Raw genomic sequence first — 24,979 nt, 5'->3', positions numbered from 1 at the left:
TTTTTTCTTAAATTAGGACTGAGGGATTATTGCCACATGCTTTTCTGTAACTATTGATATTGTCATATAGTTTTGTTTTTTAATCTGTTAATATGGTAAATTACATTGATTGGATTTTTGGATGCTAAACCCATCTCACATTCCTGGATAAGCCAAACCTCATCATGATGTATTTTTTTTTTATATTGCTGGGTTTGATTTGGTAATATTTTGTTAAAGATCTTTCTTTATGTCTATATGTATGAGATACATTGGTCTGTCTTTTATTTTTTTTTTGTAATCTCTATCTGGATTTGGAGGCTTGGTGGCTTCATAAACAAGCTGGGAAGTATTTCTTCTTTTTTTCTTTTCTAAAAAAAGTTTGTATAGGGTTTAATTCTTCCTTAAATATTTGATAGAATTGACCAGTGAAACCATCTGGTCCAGGAATTTTCTTTTTGGGAAGATTGTTAATTATGAGTTAAACTTTTGAGATTGATGAGGGGTTTATTTTGATTCAGTTTTATAATTTGTGTCTTTTAATCAATTGGTTCATTTAATTTATCCAAGTTATGGTATAAAATTGTTCACAATAGTCCTCTGTTTTTGTTTCGATGTCTGAAGTATCTGGATAATATCTCCTTTTTTATTTCTGATATTTGTTAATTTGTGTCTTTTCTATTTTATTCCCATGGTCATCTAGCTATTTATCATTTAAAAATGTTTTCCAAAAAGCAGCTTTGGGTTTGTTTTTTATTTCTTCGATTATTTGCTTGTTATTATTTCTTCCCTTCTATGTACTTTGATTTTAATTTGCTTTTCTTTTTCTACCTTGTTAACGTAGAAGTTTATTTAAAAAAAAAATTTCTTCTAAACCAGTGGCTCTCAAATTTTGTTGCCAATTGGAATTGTCTGGGGAATCCTTAAAAATTAATAATTCTGTCTCCCATCCCCAGATATTTTTATTTAATTGATTAAATTGATATGAGGTACAATGGGATTTTTAAAAACTCCCTATGTGATTTTTAGTGTGTAGCACATTTGGGGAAACACTGTTCTGAGCAGTACTTTAGTTTTCTCCCACAAATTTTGGTATATTATGTTTTCATTTTATTCAAGATGTTTTTAAATTTCCCTTGTGGTTTCTTTTTTCCATTGATTATTTAGAATTATATTGTTTGACTTCCAGATATTTCAGGACTTGTTCCTTAATTGATTTCCGTTTTAACTCCTTTGTGATCAAAGAAAGTACTTTGAGTGATTTCAATCCATTTTTTTAAGGCCTGGAATATGCCCTATTTTAGTTAATTTTTTTACGTGCATTAGCAAATTATGTGTATTCTGCTATTGTTGGGTGAGTGTTCTGTAAATATCAAATAGGTCAACTTGTTGATGGTGCCACTGAAGTATTTTATATCCTTACTGTTTCTGGTCTCTTTGTTCTGTCAATTACCTAGAGAGTAGTGTTGAAATCTCCAGCTATTATTATGGGTTTCTTTTTTTTCCTTTCAGTTCTAGTTTTTACTTCATGTGTTTTGAAGCTTCATTATTAGGTGCATAAATATTTAGAATTGTTATTTTTTAATTGTCATTTTATAGCTTACTCCTGCATTTGTCCTCCACCCTTCCCTTTGATGACCAATTTTGCAGGCTTCAGGGAGATCAGGGAACAAAGTTGGGGCCTGGCAGCCCCACTATTCTGCCAGCTGGGGAGAACAAGTCACAATTACAAATCGTCACAACAATTAGCACCTGTAGTTGGGAGAGCTGCAAAGTGAGGAGGCCCCAGGTCTCCATTGTACATGGGTCTATTTGACAGTGACCTTACTCTGGAAATAATGATATTCCTTCAGTCTGAGGTAATTGATGTTGATGAAACCGGTGGCATCGATTGGCTCATAATTCCCCTGCACGTTGACGCTCACCAGCTCCTCCTTGTAGAGAGAGAGTAGAGACTCCTGGCTGAGGATGTGCACCTGGCCCTTGAAGATGGGCACCTGCACTTTTCCTTCCATTTGCTCCTGGGACTTGGTGATGCAATGGTGGACAGATTTACACTCAGGGTTGATTTTGTGCACTTCCCGATCCATAGTGAAGTCCTCGATGTCTAAATCAGCCTGTTGAAGGATGGTGCCTGCTGGGGTCTTGTAGATACCTCTGGACTTTATTCTAATGAAGCAGTTCTCCATAATGTCAATACAGCCCATGCCGTGCTTGCCCGTGACTTCGTTCAGGTACACGAAGAGCTCCAAGGAGGTCTGGTGAGGTGGTGCCATCTTGATGGTCACTTTCACGGGGACCCCTTTTTTTGAACTTGATCTTGAGAATTTCAGGGGTGTTGTGGGCTTTGGCTAGGTCCTGGGTATATCGGTAATGACATCTTTGCCTTTGTGTTCATTTTTGAAAAATATTTGATCTGGCTGTATGATTTTTAGTCTCACAGTTTTTTTCTAACAGCACTCTAAGAATGTCATTCCATTTCCTTCCAGCTTGCATAATTTCTGACAAGACATGTGTTATTATATTTACTCCTATATTATGTGCCTTTTTTTCTGGGTACTTTTAAGATTTTTTTCTTTGTTACTTTTTTTTTTTTTTTTTAGCAATTTGATTATATCATGTCATGGTTTTTCTTTATTCTTCCTGGGCTTTGTTGAACTTCTTGGATTTGTAGGCTGATATTGTTTATTAAATTCAGAAAAATTGGGGGCATGTTTTCTTTAAATATTTTCTTGACCTCTTTCCTCTTATTTTAGTGCTTGAATTATAAAAATGTTAGATTGTTGTTGCCCTCACATGTTACCAAGACTGTTTATTTTTAAAATATTTTCTTCCTTCATACTTTGTTTAAAATAATTTATGTTGCTATGTTTCCAGCTTCACTGATATTTTCTGTAGTGTCTTATCTGCAACATTTTCGTATCAAAAATATTTTTAAATATTTAGACACTTAATTTGGTGATTCTCAATATGTTCTCTTTGTCTTCTCGTTATGTTCATATTTCCTTTAAGTCTTTAATCTTATTGAACTTATTTTAATAGCTGTTTTAAGGCCTTTTAATGTTAATTTTGTTATCTTTGTTAATTGGATCTGTTTTTATTGACTGATTTTTCTCCTAGTTGTGGGCAACATTTTCCTCCCTTTTATTTGTCTGTCTCTAATTTTTTTTTTCACTGTTAGGCATTGAATATTAGTATTTACATTGTTCAGCTGAATTTGAACAATGTACATACTAATTTACATTGGTTTTTCTTTTTGGTTACTAATGTAGTACTAATTACATTTTGGTTTTTCTTTTAAATGGTCTCTCTCCCCACCACCCTCCACTTTTTTGGTAGGCATTTAAATTATTTGCAGATCAGCCTGCTCATTTCAAGGCTATTTTTGTGCTTTTCAAGGATGATCTAGGGTAATCTTTAGAGCTAGTTTAGACTCACTACTAAGGCATGAGCTTTCTGGAGTCTCTACAGAATACTCTGGGTATTCAACAACAAGGGCTCTTCATTCTTGGAATTGTTCACTTTATAACTCCCCTGAAATTGATCTTTTCCTGCTATTTTTCACTTGGCTGCTTGGAGTTTCACCCTATGCAGCACAGATTCCTATTCAAAGCCTCATGAGTATTCTTATGCCAATCTCTGCATAGCGTTCTTTTTATCTTTAATATGTCCCACAAATTCCAGCCATCCCAGTGTCTTCAAACTCTAATCTGTTTCTCAACTTATTTGGACCATGAGGCTCTGAGTTCCCCATTCTTATACCACAGTTTGGACTTTGCATCTAGGTTGGAATAGGGGCAGTCTTAGATATCACCTGATTTGTTTCCCTTTTGTTAATAATCACATGCCTCTTCTGCCATTGGTCCACTATCTGAAATAGCTTTATATATTTTGTCCACTTTTCTAGTTATGTATAGGATTTTGAGGGCAATCCTGTAGAAGTTCAGCATAATTATTTGTTTCACTTAAATTTAATGAATGTAATTTTTCTAAATCTGAATATTGAATCTGGCTACTCTTAGAAGCAAGCTTTATGTTACTGTATGTTTTTATTTTCAGAAATTTCAAATCTTTATATAGAGACCATAAGATTATTTAACCAAGGTTATACTGATGTCTTAAAAAAAACTCTCAGGTTTTTCAGAAGATACCCTTTAGGTAATTTAATTTTACTTGCATGTATGTGCAAGTTGGTGATGTACATGTACAGCTTCTTTTAAAAATGGATTGGGACCTAACAATGAAAACATGCAGTTGTAATGGTTCTTACTGTAGTGCATGTTGAATTATGAGAGTTACTCATGGTTATATGTTATCCATGGGGACTTTTAATATGCTTGGTTATACAGATCTGCAAATTTTTAGCTGTGGGCTGATAACCATATTGAATCATAAATTTATTACTGATGCATTGCTTTCTAGGTGGACGTTAAATTTTAAGAGAATTAAGGGTAGGAATTGGCTTTCTATTATGAAATGGTTTCTTCAACTTTAAATGGATGTCTTAAATGTAAATATTACTAGTTTGTGTAATCAATACACAAAAACATTATTTGGAACAAAAATTAATTACAAAGTTTCTTAAGAATAATAGAGGAAATGCAAAATATTTCTAAATAAAAACAATTTAACTGACAGAAGCTTGTCAGCACTTAGCAACATTTATTTTCAATTACAAATGGTACTTTTTATCACCATTTTTATTCTAGCTTTGTATCAATATATCATCTAGACAGAAAGTGCTGATGTAGGTTTTTCAGTGCTAGTCTGCAAAGGAATTGAAGGTGAATGTGGTTTTAGTTACATATCTTCCTTCCTCTACATCTGTGCTTTGTGTTTTATTAGACTGCTTAAAATACATTGTTGTCAAATATCTAAATGTCAGGCTTGCTGATCATTTATATGCCTTCATATTTAAAAAAAATATTAACTACATACAATGTGGTTATCAGCTGTCTTTTCTAGGGGTATCTGTAAATTTGAGAGTGTTTTATTGGTAGATACATGAGAAGTTAGTATCTCCAAGTATTTCATTCATATTGGCTTACTGCCATGTGAAATTTATTACTGAACTTTCATATGAAAAAGATAAAACACACTGTCATCTCATCTTGTCCCATTGTACATTTCAGTTACAGGAACAAAATGATATGCTTGCAGTTCTGTGATATGATGCACTAGAAAAATCTTTATTATAGAGATTGTGTGACTTAGAGTTTGTGTGTGTGTTTATGCGTGACTGTTGCAGAATAAAGTTGTATTTATGTGTACCCATAGTGATATTTCTGTGTCTGTATGAACATAGTGATTCAGTAGATTAGATCATGAGCATTCTTTATATTTGTCTACAGTAATTAAGTCTCTCACTGAATATGCACCAAGTACTGGCCAAGCTGTCTTATAATAAATATTATACTTATTACTTGTTTCAATGGCTATACAGATAATCAGAAGTGTTGCAAGTTGGTCACTTATTGGAAAATCTTAAATACGCTACTTACAGGGAACTTACCATGTATGTACACATATGGTATTATCTTCTACTTTTTTGGTTTGTTTTAGATAAGTGCTGTTGCTTAGCATTTAAGGTAGAATGTTTTATTTTTATAAGTTAATTAATATATATTTAGTTCTATGACCTTGAGCATGCTATTTAATTTTCCCATGCCTGAGTTATCTCATCTCTGAAATAGGAATAAAATAGTTCCTGCTTCGTAGGATTGTGTTGAAGATTAAATGAGTTAATACAAATGAAGCACTCAGAACAATTCTTGAACCTAAGCAAATTTTCAGTGAGTAGTAGTTATTGTCACCATTATTATTAGTCAATTTAAGAATCAGCCAGTAATATTTATTTTTCTTTTTTATGTCTTTATTTATATGTAATTTACATTTCATAAAATTCACTCATGCTAAGTATAGAAATTGATGATATAGTGAATGTATAGGGTTGTACAGCCATCACTGTAATCCAATTTTGGAATGTTTTAATCATCCTGAAAATACTCCCCATGGCCATTTGCACTTACTGTTATTTCTTACCCCTACCTCCAGGCAACCAGTAATCTATTTTGTATTTCTATTGATTTTCCCCTTCTGGATATTTCATTTAAAAAGAATCACACAATAAATGGTCTTTTGTGTTGGCTTCTTTCCCTGAGTGTAATGTTTCTGAGGTTCATCCATGTTACAGTATGTATCTGTATTTTGTTCTTTTTTTTGCTGAATATTATTTTTTGTTTAGATGCACCTCATTTTGTTAATCCACACACCATTTGCTAGACTTTTATGTTGTGTTGCTTTTAGGTATTATGAATAATACCATGAATATGCTTTTATAATTCTTTCCGTAGATATATGTTTTCATGTCTCTTAGGCAGATTTCTAGGTATGGTATTGCTGAGTTGTGTGATATATTTATGTTTAACTTTTGAAGAGACTGCCAAACCTGTTTTCCGGAGCTGCTGTGTGTACCATGTTACATTCCCATGAGCAGTGTATGAGGGTTCTATTTTCCCCACAACCTCACCAACATTTGTTATTTTTTATCTTTTTTGATTTTAGCTATCCTAGTGTGTGTAAAGTAGTATCTTATTTTGGATTTAATTTGCATTTCCCTAAAACACATATTTATGTGTCTTACTCAAGGTTACACCCCAACTCTGGGGATACTGGGAATTTCATTATGTATATGTCGGCTCAAAGACCCTGTCTCTTTTCCTCATGTGGGATAATTTTCAAAAACTATACCCACTGCAGAGGTTCCTGTGGCTTAAACCTCTGTTAGAACCACACTGCAATTCAGCTTCTTTCTCTGCCTGTCCTGCTTCCTTCACTCCCTTTCAGATGTTGTTCCTAAGGGCACTCCCCAAAATGCATGCAAATCCCAGAATCTTAGAGCCTGTTTTCTAGGGAATCCACCTATTAACAGGGATATAGAATTGATAGGAGTCACTAATTTAGAGAGAGTGATTAAGGAAGACCTCTAACTTGAGGTAATCTTTGATCAGAGACCTGAATAAAATGAGGAATTAAACCACCTAGATAAGTTGGGGGAAACTTTTCCAGACAGAAGAGCAAATGCAAAGATCTAAGGCAGGACCATGCTTGACAGTAAAAGACCATGTGGGGAGTGACCAGAGTCAGTAAGAGGGAGGAAAGGTAGAATATAACAAGAGGCCACACCTTGCATGGCTTTTGAAGTGTTTTCAGTAATGGAATTCCATGATCACTCTAGATGCTCTGTAAAAATTGAGTGTAAGGGACCAAGAACAGAAATAGGGACCCAGTAAGGAGGCTACTACAATAGTCCAGGTGAAAATGGTTGTGACTTGAGTTAGGGTGGTAGCATTGGAGTGGCTGAGAAGTGGCCAGATTCTGGATATATTTTAAAGATGTACTTTTTTGATGGCTGGGATATGGAGTATGAGAGAAATAGAGGAATCAAGGAGGATTCTGAAGTTTTTGGCCTAAGCAATTGGATGAATGGAAATTGTGTATTGAGATACAAGAGGCAAAGGAGTGGCAGGGGTGGTAGAAAGCAAATTTTACCTTTTAGACATGTTAAATTTGTATGCCTATAAGACATCCAAATATAATGTAGAGAAGTTGTCATTCATATCTGAGTCAGGACTGAAGATAGAATTTGGGTAATTTTCAGGATATACATTATATTTAAAGCTATGCACCTTAGTGAGATCACCTAGACAGAGATTGGCAATTTTTCTTCTGTAAAGGATCAGAAGCACTATCTAGTCCTTGTTGCAGCTATTCAATTTTTACCTTGTATTGTGAAAGGAGCTGTAGACAATAATTAAGAAAATGGGTGTGGCTGCGTTCCAATAAAACTTTATTTATAAAAATTAATAGGTGGTAAGCTACATTTGGTCTGCAGGTAGAGTTTACTGACCTGTGACCTAGACAGTGAATAGAGAAAGACAAAAGTCCTATACCCCTCCTAGGGTAGTCCAACACTTAGAGGTTAGGAATAATGGGAGTCAGGAAAATGAGAAGGAGCAGCCAGTGACCTAGGAGGGAAACTCAGAGAATGTGATTAGGTTATCATTTATGTTTCTCCTCACTTCAACTATGTTTTTAAGTGCATAAATAATTCATGTAAAAATCCAAACAGATAATACTCTAATCTTTTATAATCTTACACATATTGTTTCTCTGATATTATACTTTGATATTCTTTAGAATTTATGTGTATTACAATATAAAATGTTCATAACTTTTTAGAGATTTGAGTGTGAAGTTCTAATAATAATTTTTAGTGCATTTTTTTCAAATATGCTATTTTTAAACTATAATGTGTGGGGTTATTTGTTAAGATGATGTAGTTGGAATTTTCTGTTCCTGAACTTTTAGCTGGTCTCTGTGTTCGTGGTGCCTGTATACTTGGGAGCAGTAAAAGCAGAGAAAGAGAGTTCAGAGATAACAGATAAATCCTTTAAATTTGAGTATTTCCATTTCTTGAGACCTTTGAAATTTTTATAAAAGTACACCATTGCACATTGTCTAGTAAGTAACTAAAAATGAGCTGTGTAAGCACATGTGAAACTCACTAAACCATAGTCGGTAAAAGGAGTTACAGACTTGTAATGTCTTAGCTCAGAAAGATAACTGATTGTATGTTACCAGAAGTCTTGGTTAAATTTGTACTGTATTTAATTTGTAGAACTGTAGTTCTAGCAATCTACACCTGGTGTAATTTTTATTTTTCTGACGTTGCTATAAGTAACAGATGCAAGGTGAAGTAGGAATTAAGGAACTACTTTAGACACATTTTTTGGGTTGCATTTTGGAGTTCAGACACCAGAAGTGATTCTGAAATTTTTGTATTGCCTACTGACAGACATTATGTACCAAGAACTCACATTACTGTAGGTCACTGAATTAATTTAAGAAATACCAATTGACATCATTCCTTTAGGGAATTGTGGGCTACTGCTTGATATTATTGTCTTTGACAAATGTGAAAATTTAGAATAAACTTTATTTTTAGGGTGTTGGGACCTTAAGAATGAAGTGATTCCTTTCCAAATTTAAATTTTTTCAAATGGATAAAAAGTATAGTTTATAGACTTTCTTTCTACCTGTTTTCACTGAAATAGTTAAGTGGTTGAGTTTTCCGTGAACTGTTGTATGTAGTTACTTATTTCTAAATGGAAAAAGAGTTCCAGAAAGCATTTAAAAGTCTTGAGAGTTGTGCTCAGAGGTCGCTTGTGATTTGTGGGAAGAAGGTAGTCAAAATTGGTATTCCTTATGTGTCTATTACATTTGAATGCATGTATATTCTGTTATGTATAATGTGTTCTAGATGAAATCCTTAGGAAGTAAAATTTTTTCATTGTAATTACAGTGACAGCTGGGAAAACCCTTTTTGCTTGAAGACTCTCAGTAATGCCCCTGAACACTCCTAATATTTCAGCTTCTTGTGGTGACCATTTTTAATTGTAGCACACTCAACCTGAATTCTTTGTATGCTAGTTATCTACTCAGATGAATTTACATCCTTTTTACTCCAAAATATATAAAAAATGGATTGACTAGCATGAATTTCTGTGGCCATTTGTTTTCTAGCCAAGTAGATAAAGTACTGTGAGCTAGGGCTGTGTTAAATGTGATGCATATGCCAGGCCTTCATAAAGGATAAAACTCCCTGTGTGTTATGCCGCTGCTGGATTAGTTAATTAGTATATGTGTTTGTGGGGGGGTTGTTCCAAGTATGCCTCTTACAGTAATATATAGGTTAGAAAAATAAACACAAACCTTTCAAAAGACTTCCAAGTGGCATGGCTAATTTTGCCCCAATATTATTTTATATTTAACTGATGGCATCTCTGTATTTAGAATTCAAGCTATCATGTAATCAAAGGATCCCAACTTTAACAATATTACACAGAAAGGGATCCTCACTTCTACCCTTTCACAATCCTCTGCAGGATTCTTTACAACCCAAAAAATATTGGGTTTTGTGTTTGGGATGTAGCTTTCAAACTATGTAATTTGGAATAGCTGCTTAACTTTTTTCCTGTGATTCTTCATGTGTAATAAATAAAATAGTTGACTTAGATTATTTTATTGACCCCCTTTAAACAAAACATATATTTTGAATACTTACTACTTGAGGCTGCAGTGATTGTACCAACCTGGTACATTGCACCAACATTGCAGGTGTGATTGCACCAACCTGGGTGACAAAGTGAGACCCTGTTTAAAAATATATATATATATATATACCTGGGCTGTATTAGTCTGTTTTTACACTGCTATAAAGAACTACCTGAGACTGGGTAATTTATAAAGAAAAGAGGTTCAATTGACTTACAGTTCTACATGGCTGGAAATGCCTCAGGAAACTTACAATCATGGTGGAAGGCAAAGTGGATGTCTTATGTGGTGGCAGGAGAGAGAGAGAGAGAGTGAGGGGGGAGGACCTATTAAACAATTTTAAACCATGAGATCTCGTGAGTACTCACTATCACGAGAATAGCATGGGGAAACCGCCCTGTGATACAGTCACCTCCCACCAGGTCCCTTCCTCAACATGTGGGGATTACAATTTGAGATGAGATTTGGGTGGGGACACAGAGCCAAACCATATCACGGTCGTGGTAGCTTGCACCTGTAGTCCCAGCTGCCTGGGAGGCTGAGGTGGGAGGATCACCTGAGCCTGGCGGGGTGGGGGGGGGGGGTCAAGGCTGCAGTGAGCCGAGATTGCACCACAGCACTCCAGACTGGGTGACAGAGTGAAACCCTGTCTCAGAGAAAGAAAAGAAAGAATAGATGTAAATAGACATAAATATATATAATGTGTTCGTGGACTATGAAGGCAATGTGTCTGGAACAGAAAATTTCCATTGTGAAGGTATTAGGAAATAGTTTTAATATACAGATATGCAGATTCTTGAATGCCACCTTGAGGATTTTTAATTTGATTTTATAGTAAATTGAAGCTTTTTTTGTTTTGTTTTGAGACAGAATCTCACTCTGTCACCCAGGCTGGATTGCAGTGGTGCGATCTTGGCTCACTGTAACCTCTGCCTCCTGGTAATTCAAGTAATTCTCCTGCCTTAGCCTCTCGAGTAGCTGGGACTTCTGGTGCATGCTACTGCGCCTGGCTAATTTTCGTATTTTTATTAGAGACGGGGTTTCACTGTGTTGCCTGGGCTGGTCTTGAACTCTTGACTTCAGGTGATCTGCCTGCCTCAGCCTCCCAAAGTGCTGGGATTGCATGCGTGAGCCACCGTGCCCATCTGTAAATGAAAGCTTTTAAGGTTTTTGAGCAAGTAAAGTGATAAAAGCAGCATCTTAATTCTGGAAAAGGATGATTCCATTTCATTATATGAGGTAATCTATAGAGATGAATAAGGAAACTTGATATTGCTGGGAATACAAGTTGGGCGTTTCATAGAAAGTTAGTTTCAGAACAGAAGGCTTTTGCTTGGTTTTAATTTGAATATATAGGACATGTACATTGTGAATGAATGGAGGATTGCTTTTTCCTAACTTAATATTATTATTATTATTATTATTATTATTATTATTATTATTATTATTATTTTTGAGATGGGGTCTTGCTATGTGGTCCAGCCTGGAGTGCAGTGGCAATTCACAAGCACAGTCGTAGCTCACTACAGCCTTGAACTCCTGGGCTCAAGCAGTCCTCTTGCCTCAACCTCCTGAGTAGATGGGACTAGAGATGCATGCCACCCTACCTGGCTTCTATTATTTTTTTAAAACCTTGAATTTATAACATGATAAACAGTCTCTCAGAGAATATTTTTATGGATTGTATTCACCAGTCTTGCATTTACCACTGTGTTTGGAATGTTGGCAGTGCTAAATAAATAATGGTTTAATAATGAGCCTATAGTCTTCCTAATTCTATTCCTTAATAGCCTCTCAAGTTATTCCTTCCATCTGATGTTGAACGTAGCTATGCAGTCCGTGGTTTACCAGTTGAATTGCTCAGTATGACCATGACTTGCTTAACATTTTTCTCAATCAGACTTCGTGAATATTTAAAGAACCTCTTGAACAGAAGTAGTAGTCTACTACCAGTCAGAGCCCATAATTCCAGAGTGCTACAGGATGTGTAATCTGTAGTGTTTCTTTGGAAAGGACATGACTGGTTAATTTTTCTCTTATTCAAAGAAGTACATTGAAATTTGGAAAGGTATTAGAACTGCAGTTTTAATCCTACTTATCTATATATTATTTTAATGCTAAAATTCTTTTGCTACTACAGGATTTGTTTTTCTTTAAAGAACCATATTCTGCCTTGTGTTATTGTTAGTTAAGCACAGGTCTGTCTTAATCAGAATACACTCCTTGGAGGCAGAAAATTGACTTTAATTGCCTTTGCTCCCCCATAACACTTAGAATAGGTTGGCAATCAGAAAATGTTTGAGTTAAAATACTGTCTTTAGTATTTACAGGTAAGTATTCACTAGCAAATTGGAATTGTATTTTATTTACAGATTAACCTTAACTCATGTTATAACTTATTGGATTGCATTTTAGATCAAGAGGCTGAGTTTTTGGGGTATTTCAACAAGATAAACAATCTCACCACATGCTCTCAAATTCTTAAAAATAGAAGCAAATCTGTTCTGTCCAAAGTAAACTTACTCCCAACATTTATGGAAATATTAAAAACAACTAAACTAGAGCAAGGAAATGACAAAAAGCAAAAAGCAACAAAATAAACCTTTCCTCACCAGAATATATTTGGGAAGAGATTATCAGTATAATCCTTTTTTTTTTCTTTTTTGGCATGACTGCAAAATCATGTCACTTCTGTTGATCATTATGGAAACAAGAAAAGTTGTAAAATTATAAAATAATACTAATACTCTTGAGGCATTTTGTTTTAGAGTAGGATGCAGTCATTGATCTAATGTCATACGCATTTCCAAAGATAAGTCTATGGGGTAAGCAAGAGATTGAGAGCTCCTTTTTAACCTCACACCTAAGCATTTCACATCACCGATATCTTCTGAATAAGCCATGCAGTATATCTACACACAAATTTAACATGGGGAAGGTACAGTAAAATGCACTGTTGTTCAGACTACAGATATAGATGGCTGATCCATAGAAAAGCCTTAAGGAGCACAAGGTGAGAACATTTTAAATGGACAGTGGGGTAGGCTGGAGAAGGTCAAGGAAGTCTGGAAGGGTCAGACTGGTGGGGATAGGGGAATATTACCAAGCAAGAGATGTAGCAGCAGGGTGTGTAAAATTGGTTTCTGGGGATACAGGTCATGTCATCATAGAATTTTGAGATTGAAAAATCTTAAGAGATCTTTGTGCTAAGAAATTACTGATTTCTGAATTGTTCACCACAGTCTAAAATGTTAAGTGACTTATTCACTGTTGCAATCGTTAGTCACTGGCAGGCCTGAAAGGAATTAAAAGTCTTGTAGTCTTGTACTCATTCATTTATTTAACAAATATTTACAGACTGCTTACTATGAGCTAGGTGATAGTGATAAAATATCTGAGACATAGTTCTTCTGAAATTCTTTTGGTTTAGTTGGGGGACTGACTAGTAAGTCAGAAATATAAGGTGATAAGGGCTGTGATCAGATACGTTGAGAGGTCTTGGAAAACACACAGGAGAGGTATCACATTCAGATGGAGAGTGGGACTAAGGACTCAGAAAAGACTTCTGGGGCAAATCTTTTTCAATAGCTAGAGGAATTGAGTTCACTTTTTAAATTAATATATTATAGATATAATTGATGTGTTCTACATAGAGCCAAAACGTCAAACTACTCTTTATAATATAGGATGTTTTGTTGATTCTCTTACTTTATAGTGCTGGTAGCATGGGAAGCAAGGAGAAGGAGAACCTTGACTCTATATTAAAGGAGCCTAAAGATAGGATATGCTAGTACATGTTTAAATGATAGGATATACTACTACATGTTTAAAAGGTAGGAAATGTTAGTACATGTTAAAAACAACTTAGGTGTTGTTAGTATGAAAGGATACATTAATAATAATGCATTAATAATACATCTAGGCCGGGTGCAGAGGCTCATGCCTGTAATCCCAGCACTTTGGGAGGCTGAGGCTGATGGATAACTTGAGACCAGGAGTTGGAGATCAGCCTGGGCAATATGATGAAACCCTGTCTCTAATAAAAATAAAAAAATTAGGCAGGCATGGTGGTGCATGCCTGTAATCCCAGGCATTCAGGTGGCTGAAGCACACTTGAATCTGGGAGGTGGAGGTTGCAGTGAGCTGAGATTATGCCATTGCACTGCAGCCTGGGCAACAGAAAGAGATACTGGGTCAAAAAAAAATTAATCTGTTTGCTTTGTTGAAGACCAATTGGCTGTATGTATTTGGGTTTATTTCTGGGTTCTCTATTGTGTTCCATTGGTCTATGTGCCTATTTTTAAACCAGTACCACGCTGTTTTGATGACTATGGCCTTACAGTATAGTTTGAAATCAGGTAGTGTGATGCCTCCAGATTTGTTCTTTTTGCTTAGTCTTGCTTTGGCTATGCAGGCTCTTTTTTGGTTCCATATGAATTTTAGAATTGTTTTTTCTAATTCTGTGAAGAAGAATAATGGTGGTATTTTGGTGGAGATTGCTTTGAATTTGTAGACTGCTTTTGGCAGTATGGTCATTTTCACAATATTGATTCTACCCATCCATGAGCATGGGATGTGTTTCTATTTGTTTGTGTCATCTGTGATTTCTTTCAGCAGCATTTTGTAGTTTTCCTTGTAGAGGTCTTTCAACTCCTTGTTTAGCTGTATTCCTAAGTATTTTTTTTTTTTTTTTGCAGCTATTGTAAAAGGGGTTGAGTTCTTTATTTGATTCTCTGCTTGGTCACTGTTGGTGTATAGAAGAACTACTGATTTGTGTACATTAATCTTATATCTGGAAATTTTGCTGAATTCTTTTATCAGTTCTAGGAGCTTTCTGTAGGAGTCTTTAGGGTTTTCAAGGTAAATGATCATGTTTTCAGCAAACAGTGACAGTTTGAATTCCTCTTTACCGATTTGGATGCCCTTTATTTCTGTCTCTTGTCTGTTTGCTCTGTCTAGGACTTCCAGTACTATGCTGAAGAGAAGTGGTGGGAGGGGGCATCCTTGTCTTGTTCCAGTACTCAGAAGGAATGCTTTCAACTTTTCCCCATTTAGTATTATGTTGGCTGTGGGTTTGTCATAAATGGCTTTTATTACATTGAGGTATGTCCCTTGTATGTCGATTTTTGCTGAAAGTTTTAATCATAAACGGATGCTGGATTTTGTCGAATACTTCTTACCTACTGAGATGATCATGTGATTTTTATTTTTAATTCTGTTTATATGGTGTATCACAGTTATTGACTTGTGTATGTTAAACTACTCCTGCATCCCTGGTATGAAACCCACTTGATCATGGTGGACTATCTTTTTGATATGTTGTTGGATTAGGTTAGCTAGTGTTTTGTTAAGGAGTTTAGCATCTGTGTTGATCAAGGATATCAGTCAGTAGTTTTCTTTTACTCATGTAACCAAATACCACCTCCACCCCAAAAACTTATGGAAAAAAATTAATCCGAAAAGTGTTTATGGTTTAAACTTGACGTGTTAAAATACTTTTGTCTGAAAAAAACATGATTAGCTCTCTCCAATTCTGTATACAAAATGCATTTCAGATGGGTTAAATATAGAAATAATATTAAATGTAAGTCATAAAATACTTAGAAGAAAGTATAAATGAATTATTTCATAGTAGGCCCAGAAAGGCCTTCCTCGATATAAAACCAAAGGGACATATAATGAAGGAAAAGTTTAACAAATTTGATTATGCAAAATGAAAGTCTCTTATATGTCAAAAAAACATGAAATGATAAAGTGAATGAGAACCTGGAAAAGTATTTGCAACATCAAACATATCACTCCTGTATAAAAAACAGCCACAAAATAGTAATAAAAAGCAAATACATCCGAAGGATAATAGGCAAAGGTCATGAACAGATAGTTCAAAAAAGAAAATGAAAAATGAATTTATTAAAGTGATTAATCTTACTTGTAAATGAAATGGCATGAAATTAAATGAGACATACTTTTTCATCCATCATACCAGCAACACAATATTGATGGTTTCTTTAAACTGTACTTTTATAGATATTGGAGAAAGAACAGTTTGGTGGTAGGCATCAAAAGGCTTGACAGTATTTACATGTCTTTACTTGGTACTTTCAACTTTTAGAATTTTTTTCCAAGACATAAATCAGAGACCAGAGCAAAGATAAAGGGATGTTCGCTACTGCATTATTATGGTAGTAACTGTCCAATAGTGGTGGGTTAGCAAAATCAACTACAATATTTACAAATGATGGAATATTCATACAGCCATTCAAAAATCATGTTTTCGAAGACTATGAATATTGAAAGTGCTCCTATAATATTGTCAAACAAAAAAGCAAGTTACAAAATGATGTATACTATAATTCCAGTATTTGAAAAATATAGTATATATGTCTAGATAAAGGACTAGAGGACTACAGAGAATGTAAATATTGGAAATATGTCTATTATAAGTGATTTTATTTTCTTATAGTGAAAAATGTTTTCTTTTTTTTTTTGAGATAGAGTCTCGCTCTGTTGCCCAGGCTGGAGTGCAGTGGCGCGATCTCAGCTCACTGCAAGCTCTGCCTCCCTGGTTCATACCATTCTCCTGCGTCAGCCTCCTGAGTAGCTGGGATTACAGGCGCCTGCCACGATGCCTAGCTAATTTTGTTTTTGTATTTTTAGTAGAGATGGGGTTTCACCGTGTTAGCCAGGATGGTCTCAATCTCCTGACCTTGTGATCCGCCCTCCTCGGCCTCCCAAAGTGCTGGGATTACAGGCGTGAGCCACCGCACCCAGTGAAAAATGTTTTCTAAAGCTTCATTTATTTTATGAGAAAAAGTTACAAACTACAGACTAGCATTGTATATTGTTATGATAGTATTGTATATATACATATAATTTGCTAACTATATTTATCTATTCTTTTTCATTTTTATTTTACTTTAAGTTCTGGGATACATATGCAAAACGTACGGGTTTGTTAAATAGGTATACATGTGCCATGGTGGTTTGCTGCACCTGTCAACCCATCATCTAGGTTTCAAGCCCTGCATGCATTAGGTATTTGTCCTAATGCTATATCTCCCCTTGCCCCACAGCCTCCACAGGCCCTGGTGTGTGATGTTCCCCTCCCTGTATCCATGTGTTCTCATTGTTCAACTGCCACTTATGAGTGAGAACATGTGGTTTTCTGTTCCTTTGTTGGTTTGCTGAGAATGATGGCTTCCAGCTTTATCCATGTCCCTGCAAAGGACATGAACTTATTCTTTTTATGGCTGCATAGTATTCCGTGGTATATATGTGCCACATTTTCTTTATCCGGTTTATCATTGATGGGCATTTAGGTTGGTTCCAAGTCTTTGCTATTGTAAATAGTGCTGCAGTAAACATACGTGTCCATGTGTCTTTATAAACATACATATCCATGTGTCTTTATAGTAAAATGATTTATAATCCTTTGGGTATATACCCAGTAATGGGTTTGCTGGGTCAAATGGTATTTCTAGTTCTAGATCCTTGAGGAATTGCCACACTATCTTCCACAATGGTTGAACTAATTTACACTCCCACCAACACTGTAAAAGTATTCCTGTTTCTCCACAGCCTCACCAGCATCTGTTGTTTCCTGACTTTTTAATAATCGCCATTCTAACTGGCATGAGATGGCATCTCATTGTGGTTTTGATTTGCATTTCTCTAATGACCAGTGATGATGAGCTTTTTCTCATATGTTTGTTTTCTCTTCTTCAGACACTCTGGATATATGCAAATTCAGTAATATGAATTTTATAGTTTAAGTAAATTTGTTTACTAATGCTTATTTAGTGGAGAGTCCAGATGGAATTAATGCCCAATAGTTTTTTTGAGAATGTGGCAGAATAATATTACTATAGATAGTTGTGTATTTTTAGTACAATAGAGATTAAATTATACTATGCTTTCAATTAACTTACTTAAATGGGCGAAAGGCAAAAACTATCAACAGCAGAATAAAGAAAGATTACATATGTAAAAGTACCAAAAAGCTGTATTGTGTTTGCTTCATTTTCTCACTTTTAGAAATTTTGTACCTGTACTATGATTTTCATTAAAATGTAGATATTTCTTATACTAGCACATTCATTTACAAGAAATAAAGAAATTTTGCTCAAATGATTATAATACAGTATAAAGTAAAACTGAGTTCATGTAGTAATGTGTGGAGACACGAACAAAATTGGACTAAAATTTTTTATTGATTGCTTTCTAATTATGGTAGAAATACATTTTAGGTTTCCATTTATGGAGAAAGAAAAAAATGGCAGAGGGTAGAAGAGTGATGTGGAAGAAAAAATAGAAAATATAACTTGATACTTTTGGTTGAAAGAAAAAGATGATTGAGGCAATTGGCCACACCTGCTCTGTCTGACTACTCTTGACTCCTTTGGCTTCTTAGTGTTTTCACCATCCTAACCACTGCTGGCCAGTCCCGTCACAGCTGCCCTCTGCTTCCTGCTGCGCTATATGTTTGGCCACTCTCATGTTCACATGAATGGTACAAGACATTAACTCATGAAGTCAAAGGATACTCATCAGGTGGCGAACAGCTGCACACATAATGCACAGCTCCACAGTGACATATAACAGTGTGTTCAAATACTTCAGAAAGACCCTTGCCACTTCGATGACACCAATCAAGGACCTGATCAATGGCCACCATTTCTGCATGTCGAGTAGCCTGAAAAGTGAATGGGCCTTACACTGATACTATTTGCTTCATGTAACTACTATTTTACAAATATACAAAAAATAAGTACAAAAAAAGGATGATCGATTAGAGTTATCTTTTAAAACTCATAACCATGGAATTGTCTTATAGTCTATTTTCCAATGAGATTCCTAGGTTTTTGATTTGGTAGCTAGTGACAGGGACGGATATTTAAAGTTCTTTGAGATGAAAGAACTTTATTACTTTATTTATTTACTTATTTCTTTGAGATGAAAGAACTAACTTATTTCGGCTTGAATACTCTGAGCTAAGTCATTTAGCACAACCTTACATAACCCCATCAGAGTGTTTACAGTTTTTTAATATGGGGACAAATGAAAAATTTAGAAAATTAGGATAGAAAACAAACAAACAAAAATGGCACTCAGAAAAGAAATAGAATAAGGAGAACACATCAGAACCCTAACTTGATTCATATTTGTTTCTGAGACTTTTGTTATTTGTTTAGAAATGATGATGATGTTGATGATGTTGATGTCATCAATGATGGCAGCAATGAAAATCTGTTATACTACATTTAATGCTAAATGCTTTACATAGGTTATATCTGAGGTAAGCCAGAAACTGTTGAGAGAGGAACTTAATATATTTATCAAACCTAAGATTCATCTTTGTGTCATTTATTTTATCTTTGTCTTATGTATTTATGATAAAGTATTTCTTCATGTACTTTATCAAAAATATTGTCAGTTAAACTATGATATTATCGACTGTAAGATATATCTTGATTCCAGAGATGATAAAATATTTTAAAAATTATATTATCATCAATGAAATATGTTGATTGGTGAAAGTGAGACTAGCAGACTGATGAACAACTGTTTCCTATTTTGAAATCAGTTTTTAAAAAGTTTATCACTAATAAAGGAGGAAATTTTGAAAATGTGAGAATATGATGTTAAGAAACTGTTCCAATCCTGATCTCTTGGCTATCTTTGGGCCTCTCCTTTGTGGAAAAAAACACACGTACATAAAACCCACTTATGTGAGCAGAGAATCAAAAGAAGGATTTGGAGGGGTCTGCATATCTTCAAGTAGGAGTAGCTTTTAATGTAAGTATAGGATAAACTTTAATTTCTGCTAGTTTTATACATTAGATTTCAAAGTTGTACTCTTGGGCGTGAGGGATGGTGGTAGGAAAGATTTTAAGAGTAAAACAGAAAAAGAACATTGAGAAATAAATACGTTGTTCCTTGGGGAGTGTTCTTTCTAGAGACACTGAGCCTGTAAACCATTCCCTCCTACGTAAAATGTCAGGAGCAAGATTAAATAGCTCTTCCTAGCATGCAGAGTTTACAGACTGCAGATATTCCCTGAGCACAGCAGACAATAGAGTAATTTAATTGAAAATATGCAGTGTTCTAAATTCTGCACATTGTTTGGTGCAAAACTTGAGGAAGGAGGAAGGAAGGGAAAGAGAAATGGGACAAGTTTTTTACAAAAGGTAATGGGAGGAGAGCTGTTGCAGAGCCAGGGAACAAGTAACTGGCTATTCACTTGTAAGATCTGTGAAAAAGTGGAAAAAAGAGATTAAAGCATTATAGTAGTGTAGAAAGATATTTCTTTTTTTGTTTCCAGTTCCCAGCAGAGAGCTTCAGAAATCCTTGGAATTTCCTGAGTTATTAGGGTGATGAGAGCATCTTTTGTTCTAGTGAGGTTATTCTTGGTGGGCCCTTAAAAAGCTTCAGGTTGCAGGCTGGTTGCCCAACAGACCAAGCCTTGATTAGCAGCTTGGGACTTTTAATCTCATGTGACAACCTCTGGGGAGGGCAAAGGGGCTGGAGATTGAGCTAATCACTGATGGCCAGTGATTTAATGAATAACGCTTATGTAATGCAGCCTCCACAAAAACCCCTAAATGCTTGGGTTCTGAGACTTTTATAATTGGCGAACACATCCACATGCCAGGTGGGTGGGACCCCCCAGCTCCATGGGGACAAAAGCTACTATGCTCTGGACCCTTCCAGACCTCACTAGATTTACCTCCTCATCTGGCTCTTCATTTGTGGTACTTTTAATGCACCAGTAATGGTAAGTAAAGTGTTTTTTGGAGTTTTATGACCACTCTAGCAAATTACTGAACCTGAAGTGAGGGGAGGACCCTCCCACCTCAGACTTTATAGCCAAGTTGGACAGAAGTGTGTGTAACCTAGGGACCTTGATTTGTGGGACTGAGCACTAAAAATTCTGATGCTAACTCCTGGTTGTTATTATCAGAATTAATTGAATTATGGGACTTCGAGTTTGTGTCAGAATTGGTTGGTGTTAGAAGGAAAAACACTTCTCACTTGATGTCAGAGGTGGCTTGAGTAAACACAGCTCAAGCATACTTAGGAGAGGCATTGAGTTAAAGGCCAGGAAAACTGGAGGGAGGTAAAGAAGTAATAGGTTGATGGGAAGTGTGTTCAGTTGTAGCTAAGGAAGTTAAGGCAATAAAATAAAAAAGTAGTCACATCAGATGCTTTAGAATCTAAATCTATAAATTCTTGGCCCTGGGCAGGAAATTCTTTTTATTGTAGCTTCTGTACATTTCCAGTGGGTGGGGGCATTGATCATTTATATGTGGCTAGAATAGGAAAAAGAGACTTGACTGGTCCAGTTAATCTTTTTCCTGGTTAGACAGTATATCCATTGGAAGGGTGCTTAAAAGATTGGAAATGTGATTGCCCATGTGACTTTGGGGCTAAAAGTATGTTGTTGTCTGAGGTCCTCCTTGGGTCGCTAATAGCCAAAGAGAAAATATAGTTTGCACATTGCTGTATGCTGGATATAAATGCAATCAAGCTGGTAATGAAGAATTTGCATATACAAAGGTAGGAGAGGACATTGAAGCAAGGAGACACTTTCTGAACCTCTGTTGCCAACCGAGAAGAGTTAGCCTAAGATTGAAGAAGTGCATATCTGAGGTCAAGGACAAGGCGGGCAGTGCTCAATGTCATCCTTTAGAACAGAGGGCAGGAATCCCATCTGGAGAGTGGAGGCAACTGAAAGAGAGGTATGGTCGTGTTGTCATATATTAAGGACCTCTATTCAGGTTTCCTTGAACTCATACTCTTATCGTAGTTGTTTGTCTTTTTGCCATTTTTCTGATTGTATAAGGCTGAAGCTTTTTATTTTAAAAAATTTGCATCTTTGGATAGTCATTCTGTATAAAACGAAGGCAGTGCATTACCTATAATTTTCACGTTGGGTTATTTAAAAGTGCAGAAATTTAAGACACTTACAAAGCAATCTGAGTGTAGAATCCTAGATTTGAATTATTTTTTCTGTAACTGTCCACAGTCTAACATTGCCCATATCTAATTTGTTCATAGTTTTAGTGATTCATCTTTATCAAATCTTTGCAAAGCGTTGTACTTACTTTCTTGGATACGATAATCCTTTCTGCACTCATATTTCATCAGATTGTGAATAATATAATTAAACTATATAATTACTATAACAAGAAGAAATGGTAATAAGTGTGGGAACAAAACAACCCCTCTTGGTGAGTGTGAAGCTCAGGGGTGGGAAGAAGAGCAGGTGCAGACTAGAGAGTAGCCTGTACAGGGTGCTGCATGTTCCACAAGGGAGTGGAGAGCCTTGACTAATGGAGTATCAGCAAGAGAGCTGCTCCTGATGCTTGCAGTCTTTCCAGTTCCTCTATTCCTGTGCTTCCTAGAGATTCTTTAGTCCTTTGAACATCTTTCGTTTACATATTAGCAATAAGCCATGTTTATAATTATTACTAAAAATGAAAATAACAGGATATATCAGTAATTGGGACTGCTATTATAGTAGATAATAGGCTTTCAAATAAGTGTAAGAATTCTCAAATTTGTAAGGTAAGGTGTTTTATGTTAGTTGAATATATTTTAGTAGTGAAGTAAGGAGTGATATTACAGGTTGATTATTGAGGTCTCTTGAATTTATCCTATAATTAGAATTTTATTCTTCATAGTTACGTGTTAATGTGTCTGCATTTGTGCTTTTTTGTTTTAAAATGTGATACTAAAAATACACAGAAATTGAAATTTAGCCCCACTGCAGTTCCATAATTTCTTCTTGCTTTGTTCTGTTGCTAAGTCGGAAATTCACATTTGCTAGATTATTACCTATTGCCATGGAAATCGTTTGTTGTATTTCTATTTCACTACAGGAACAAGCAGCAGGAGCTAATGGACCATAAGAGGGAAATTTGTTGTTTAAACAATGATTATCTTTTATATTTGGCTAACATGAAAAGGGGAAAGTACACTTTTTCTGTCACACCGCATGAGAAGGTAAATGGATGAGATTTAGAGACAGAATTTACCTGAAAAAAATTTATACCTGTCTTTTGAGGAAATAAAGTTACCTACTCACAAGACAAAATTATAAAATGTGCCTATATCAAGCTATGTTTTGTCAAGTCACAAAAGAGGTCCTGTGGCAGGTTGGGTTCCCTAGAAGCAGACATTGAGATGGAGTTTGGGGTGTGAGATGTATTTTAGGGATCATCCCTGGGGAAAGGAAGAAGAAAGATACAGGATTGAGCAGGGGAGGAAGCCAAACTGTGAGGCAGGCCTGACAGAACCCTAGACAAGCCAGTGGGGCCCTCAGACAGTGTGGCCTTCAGAGTTGTCTCAAGTTACCCCTGCCCTGTCTGAGGATGTCGAATACCCCAAGGGAGGGCGGTTCTCTGCAGCTGTGGCGATGTTGAAGTCTACTGACCTGGCGGCTGTCTACTGACTGCACTGCCCATATATGGGCCATGAGTGAGTGCTTCTTTGAAGGGGGATCTGGGTGATGCATACTGTTGTCTACATAGGTCTTATTTTGTGACTATCAGGGAAATTTTGCAATTTTATCCTTATATTTATAATTCCCCAATGTACATCATCTTTCTAAGCCAAGTATTCTGTGAGAATTAACATTTTACAGATTTTAGACACGTTCAAGACACCTTTTAACATCCTTATTTTATTTGTTTAGTGCCCTTAGAATTATATAGGCTGTATTAGCCTCTAGCACAAGCATACTTTTTTATATTCAAAATTCAGAGCAGATTGTGGCCCTTCATAGAGAGTTAAGGTTTTTCTTAATAGTTATATGGGCATTTAAGGCCAAACATGTCTTTGTTTTTTAATCATTTGACAATGATTTCAAGCTTGTAGAAACATTGCAAGAATAGTACAAAGAACTGATATGATTTTCACTCAAATTTTCAATATTAAAATTTTATTATAGTTGCTTTATCATATTCTCTCTCTCTCTCTCAATCTGCCCTCCCTCTCCTCTTACCATTACACATTATTATTATTTTGAAGTTTTTTTTTGGCTTGAGAGTACATTGGAGACATGATGCCCCAGTACTCCCTTAGTACTTCAGTGACTATTTTCTAAAAATAAGGACATTTCCCTACATAATCTCAGTATAACCACCAAAATAGGAAACTAGTATTGATACAATATTACCGTCTATTACACAGATTCAATTCATAATTCACTAACTGTCCCAATGATGTTCTTTATATGTCCAGAATCTAAGCCTTGTATTTAGCTGCCCTGGCTCTTTGCTCTCCTTCAATCTGGAATCTTCATTAATCTTGCCTTATCTTTAATGATTTTGACATTTCTGAAGAGTACAGCTATGTTTTGTTTCTCTACTTGGGTTTATCTGATGTTTCCTTATGAATAAGTTGTTATTTTGGGCATTATTACCACAAAAGCGATGCTATGTTCTCAGTTCCTCATGTTAAAAGGTGTGGTTCAAGCTTATCTTGTACTTTTCTTGCCCCAGCCCTGGCGCTACCAAAGACTTCTGGTTTCTTTTAGTGGATGCTAAGGTTGCTCTTTGCTACTGGGTCTAAGATTGCTCTTTACTACTGAGGTGTCTTTGCTTCTAGATCTTTTCAGTGAACAAACCTAGGAAATACAGATTTGCACATTATATGTATATATGTATGTACATATATGCATGTACATACATATATTGATATGGCTTGGCTGTGTCCCCACCCAAATCTCAACTTGAGTTGTATCTCCCAGAATTCCCATGTGTTGTGGGAGGGACCCAGGGGGAGGTAATTGAATCATGGGGGCCGGTCTTTCCTGTGCTATTCTCGTGGTAGTGAATAAGTCTCACGAGATCTGATGTGTTTATCCGGGGTTTCTGCTTTT

At 35.7% G+C, this 24,979-nt stretch overlaps 1 protein-coding gene, 1 long non-coding RNA gene and 1 pseudogene across 27 annotated transcripts in view, besides 1 other annotated feature; 2 read left to right on the top strand and 1 right to left on the bottom strand.

Annotated features, from left to right (window-relative positions):
- Nucleotides 1-24,979, top strand: part of IMMP2L (inner mitochondrial membrane peptidase subunit 2) — an 899,849-nt gene that overhangs the window by 148,822 nt on the left and 726,048 nt on the right. The window lies entirely within an intron of this gene.
- On the bottom strand, nucleotides 1,791-2,352 carry LOC100420226 (argininosuccinate synthase 1 pseudogene; annotated as a pseudogene).
- Nucleotides 20,249-20,750: an enhancer, noted in NCBI's record as "NANOG hESC enhancer chr7:111032977-111033478 (GRCh37/hg19 assembly coordinates)". NCBI's record gives its function as "activates a minimal SCP1, AML or CMV promoter by ChIP-STARR-seq in naive H9 embryonic stem cells {active_cell/tissue: H9 hESC(naive)}" and the evidence as "EXISTENCE:reporter gene assay evidence [ECO:0000049][PMID:30033119]".
- The window catches only part of LOC124900232 (uncharacterized), a 58,562-nt gene continuing 54,356 nt past the window's right edge, over nucleotides 20,774-24,979 (top strand). Inside the window, exon 1 of the long non-coding RNA XR_007060475.1 lies at nucleotides 20,774-23,100. This is a non-coding gene — a long non-coding RNA (uncharacterized LOC124900232). The remainder of the gene's footprint in view (nucleotides 23,101-24,979) is intronic.

This window comes from Homo sapiens, chromosome 7 (assembly GCF_000001405.40).
Source record: "Homo sapiens chromosome 7, GRCh38.p14 Primary Assembly".
Lineage (NCBI taxonomy): Eukaryota > Metazoa > Chordata > Mammalia > Primates > Hominidae > Homo > Homo sapiens.
The sequence above is the reverse complement of the archived record's forward strand: the minus strand, read 5'-3'. Positions and strand labels throughout refer to the sequence as shown.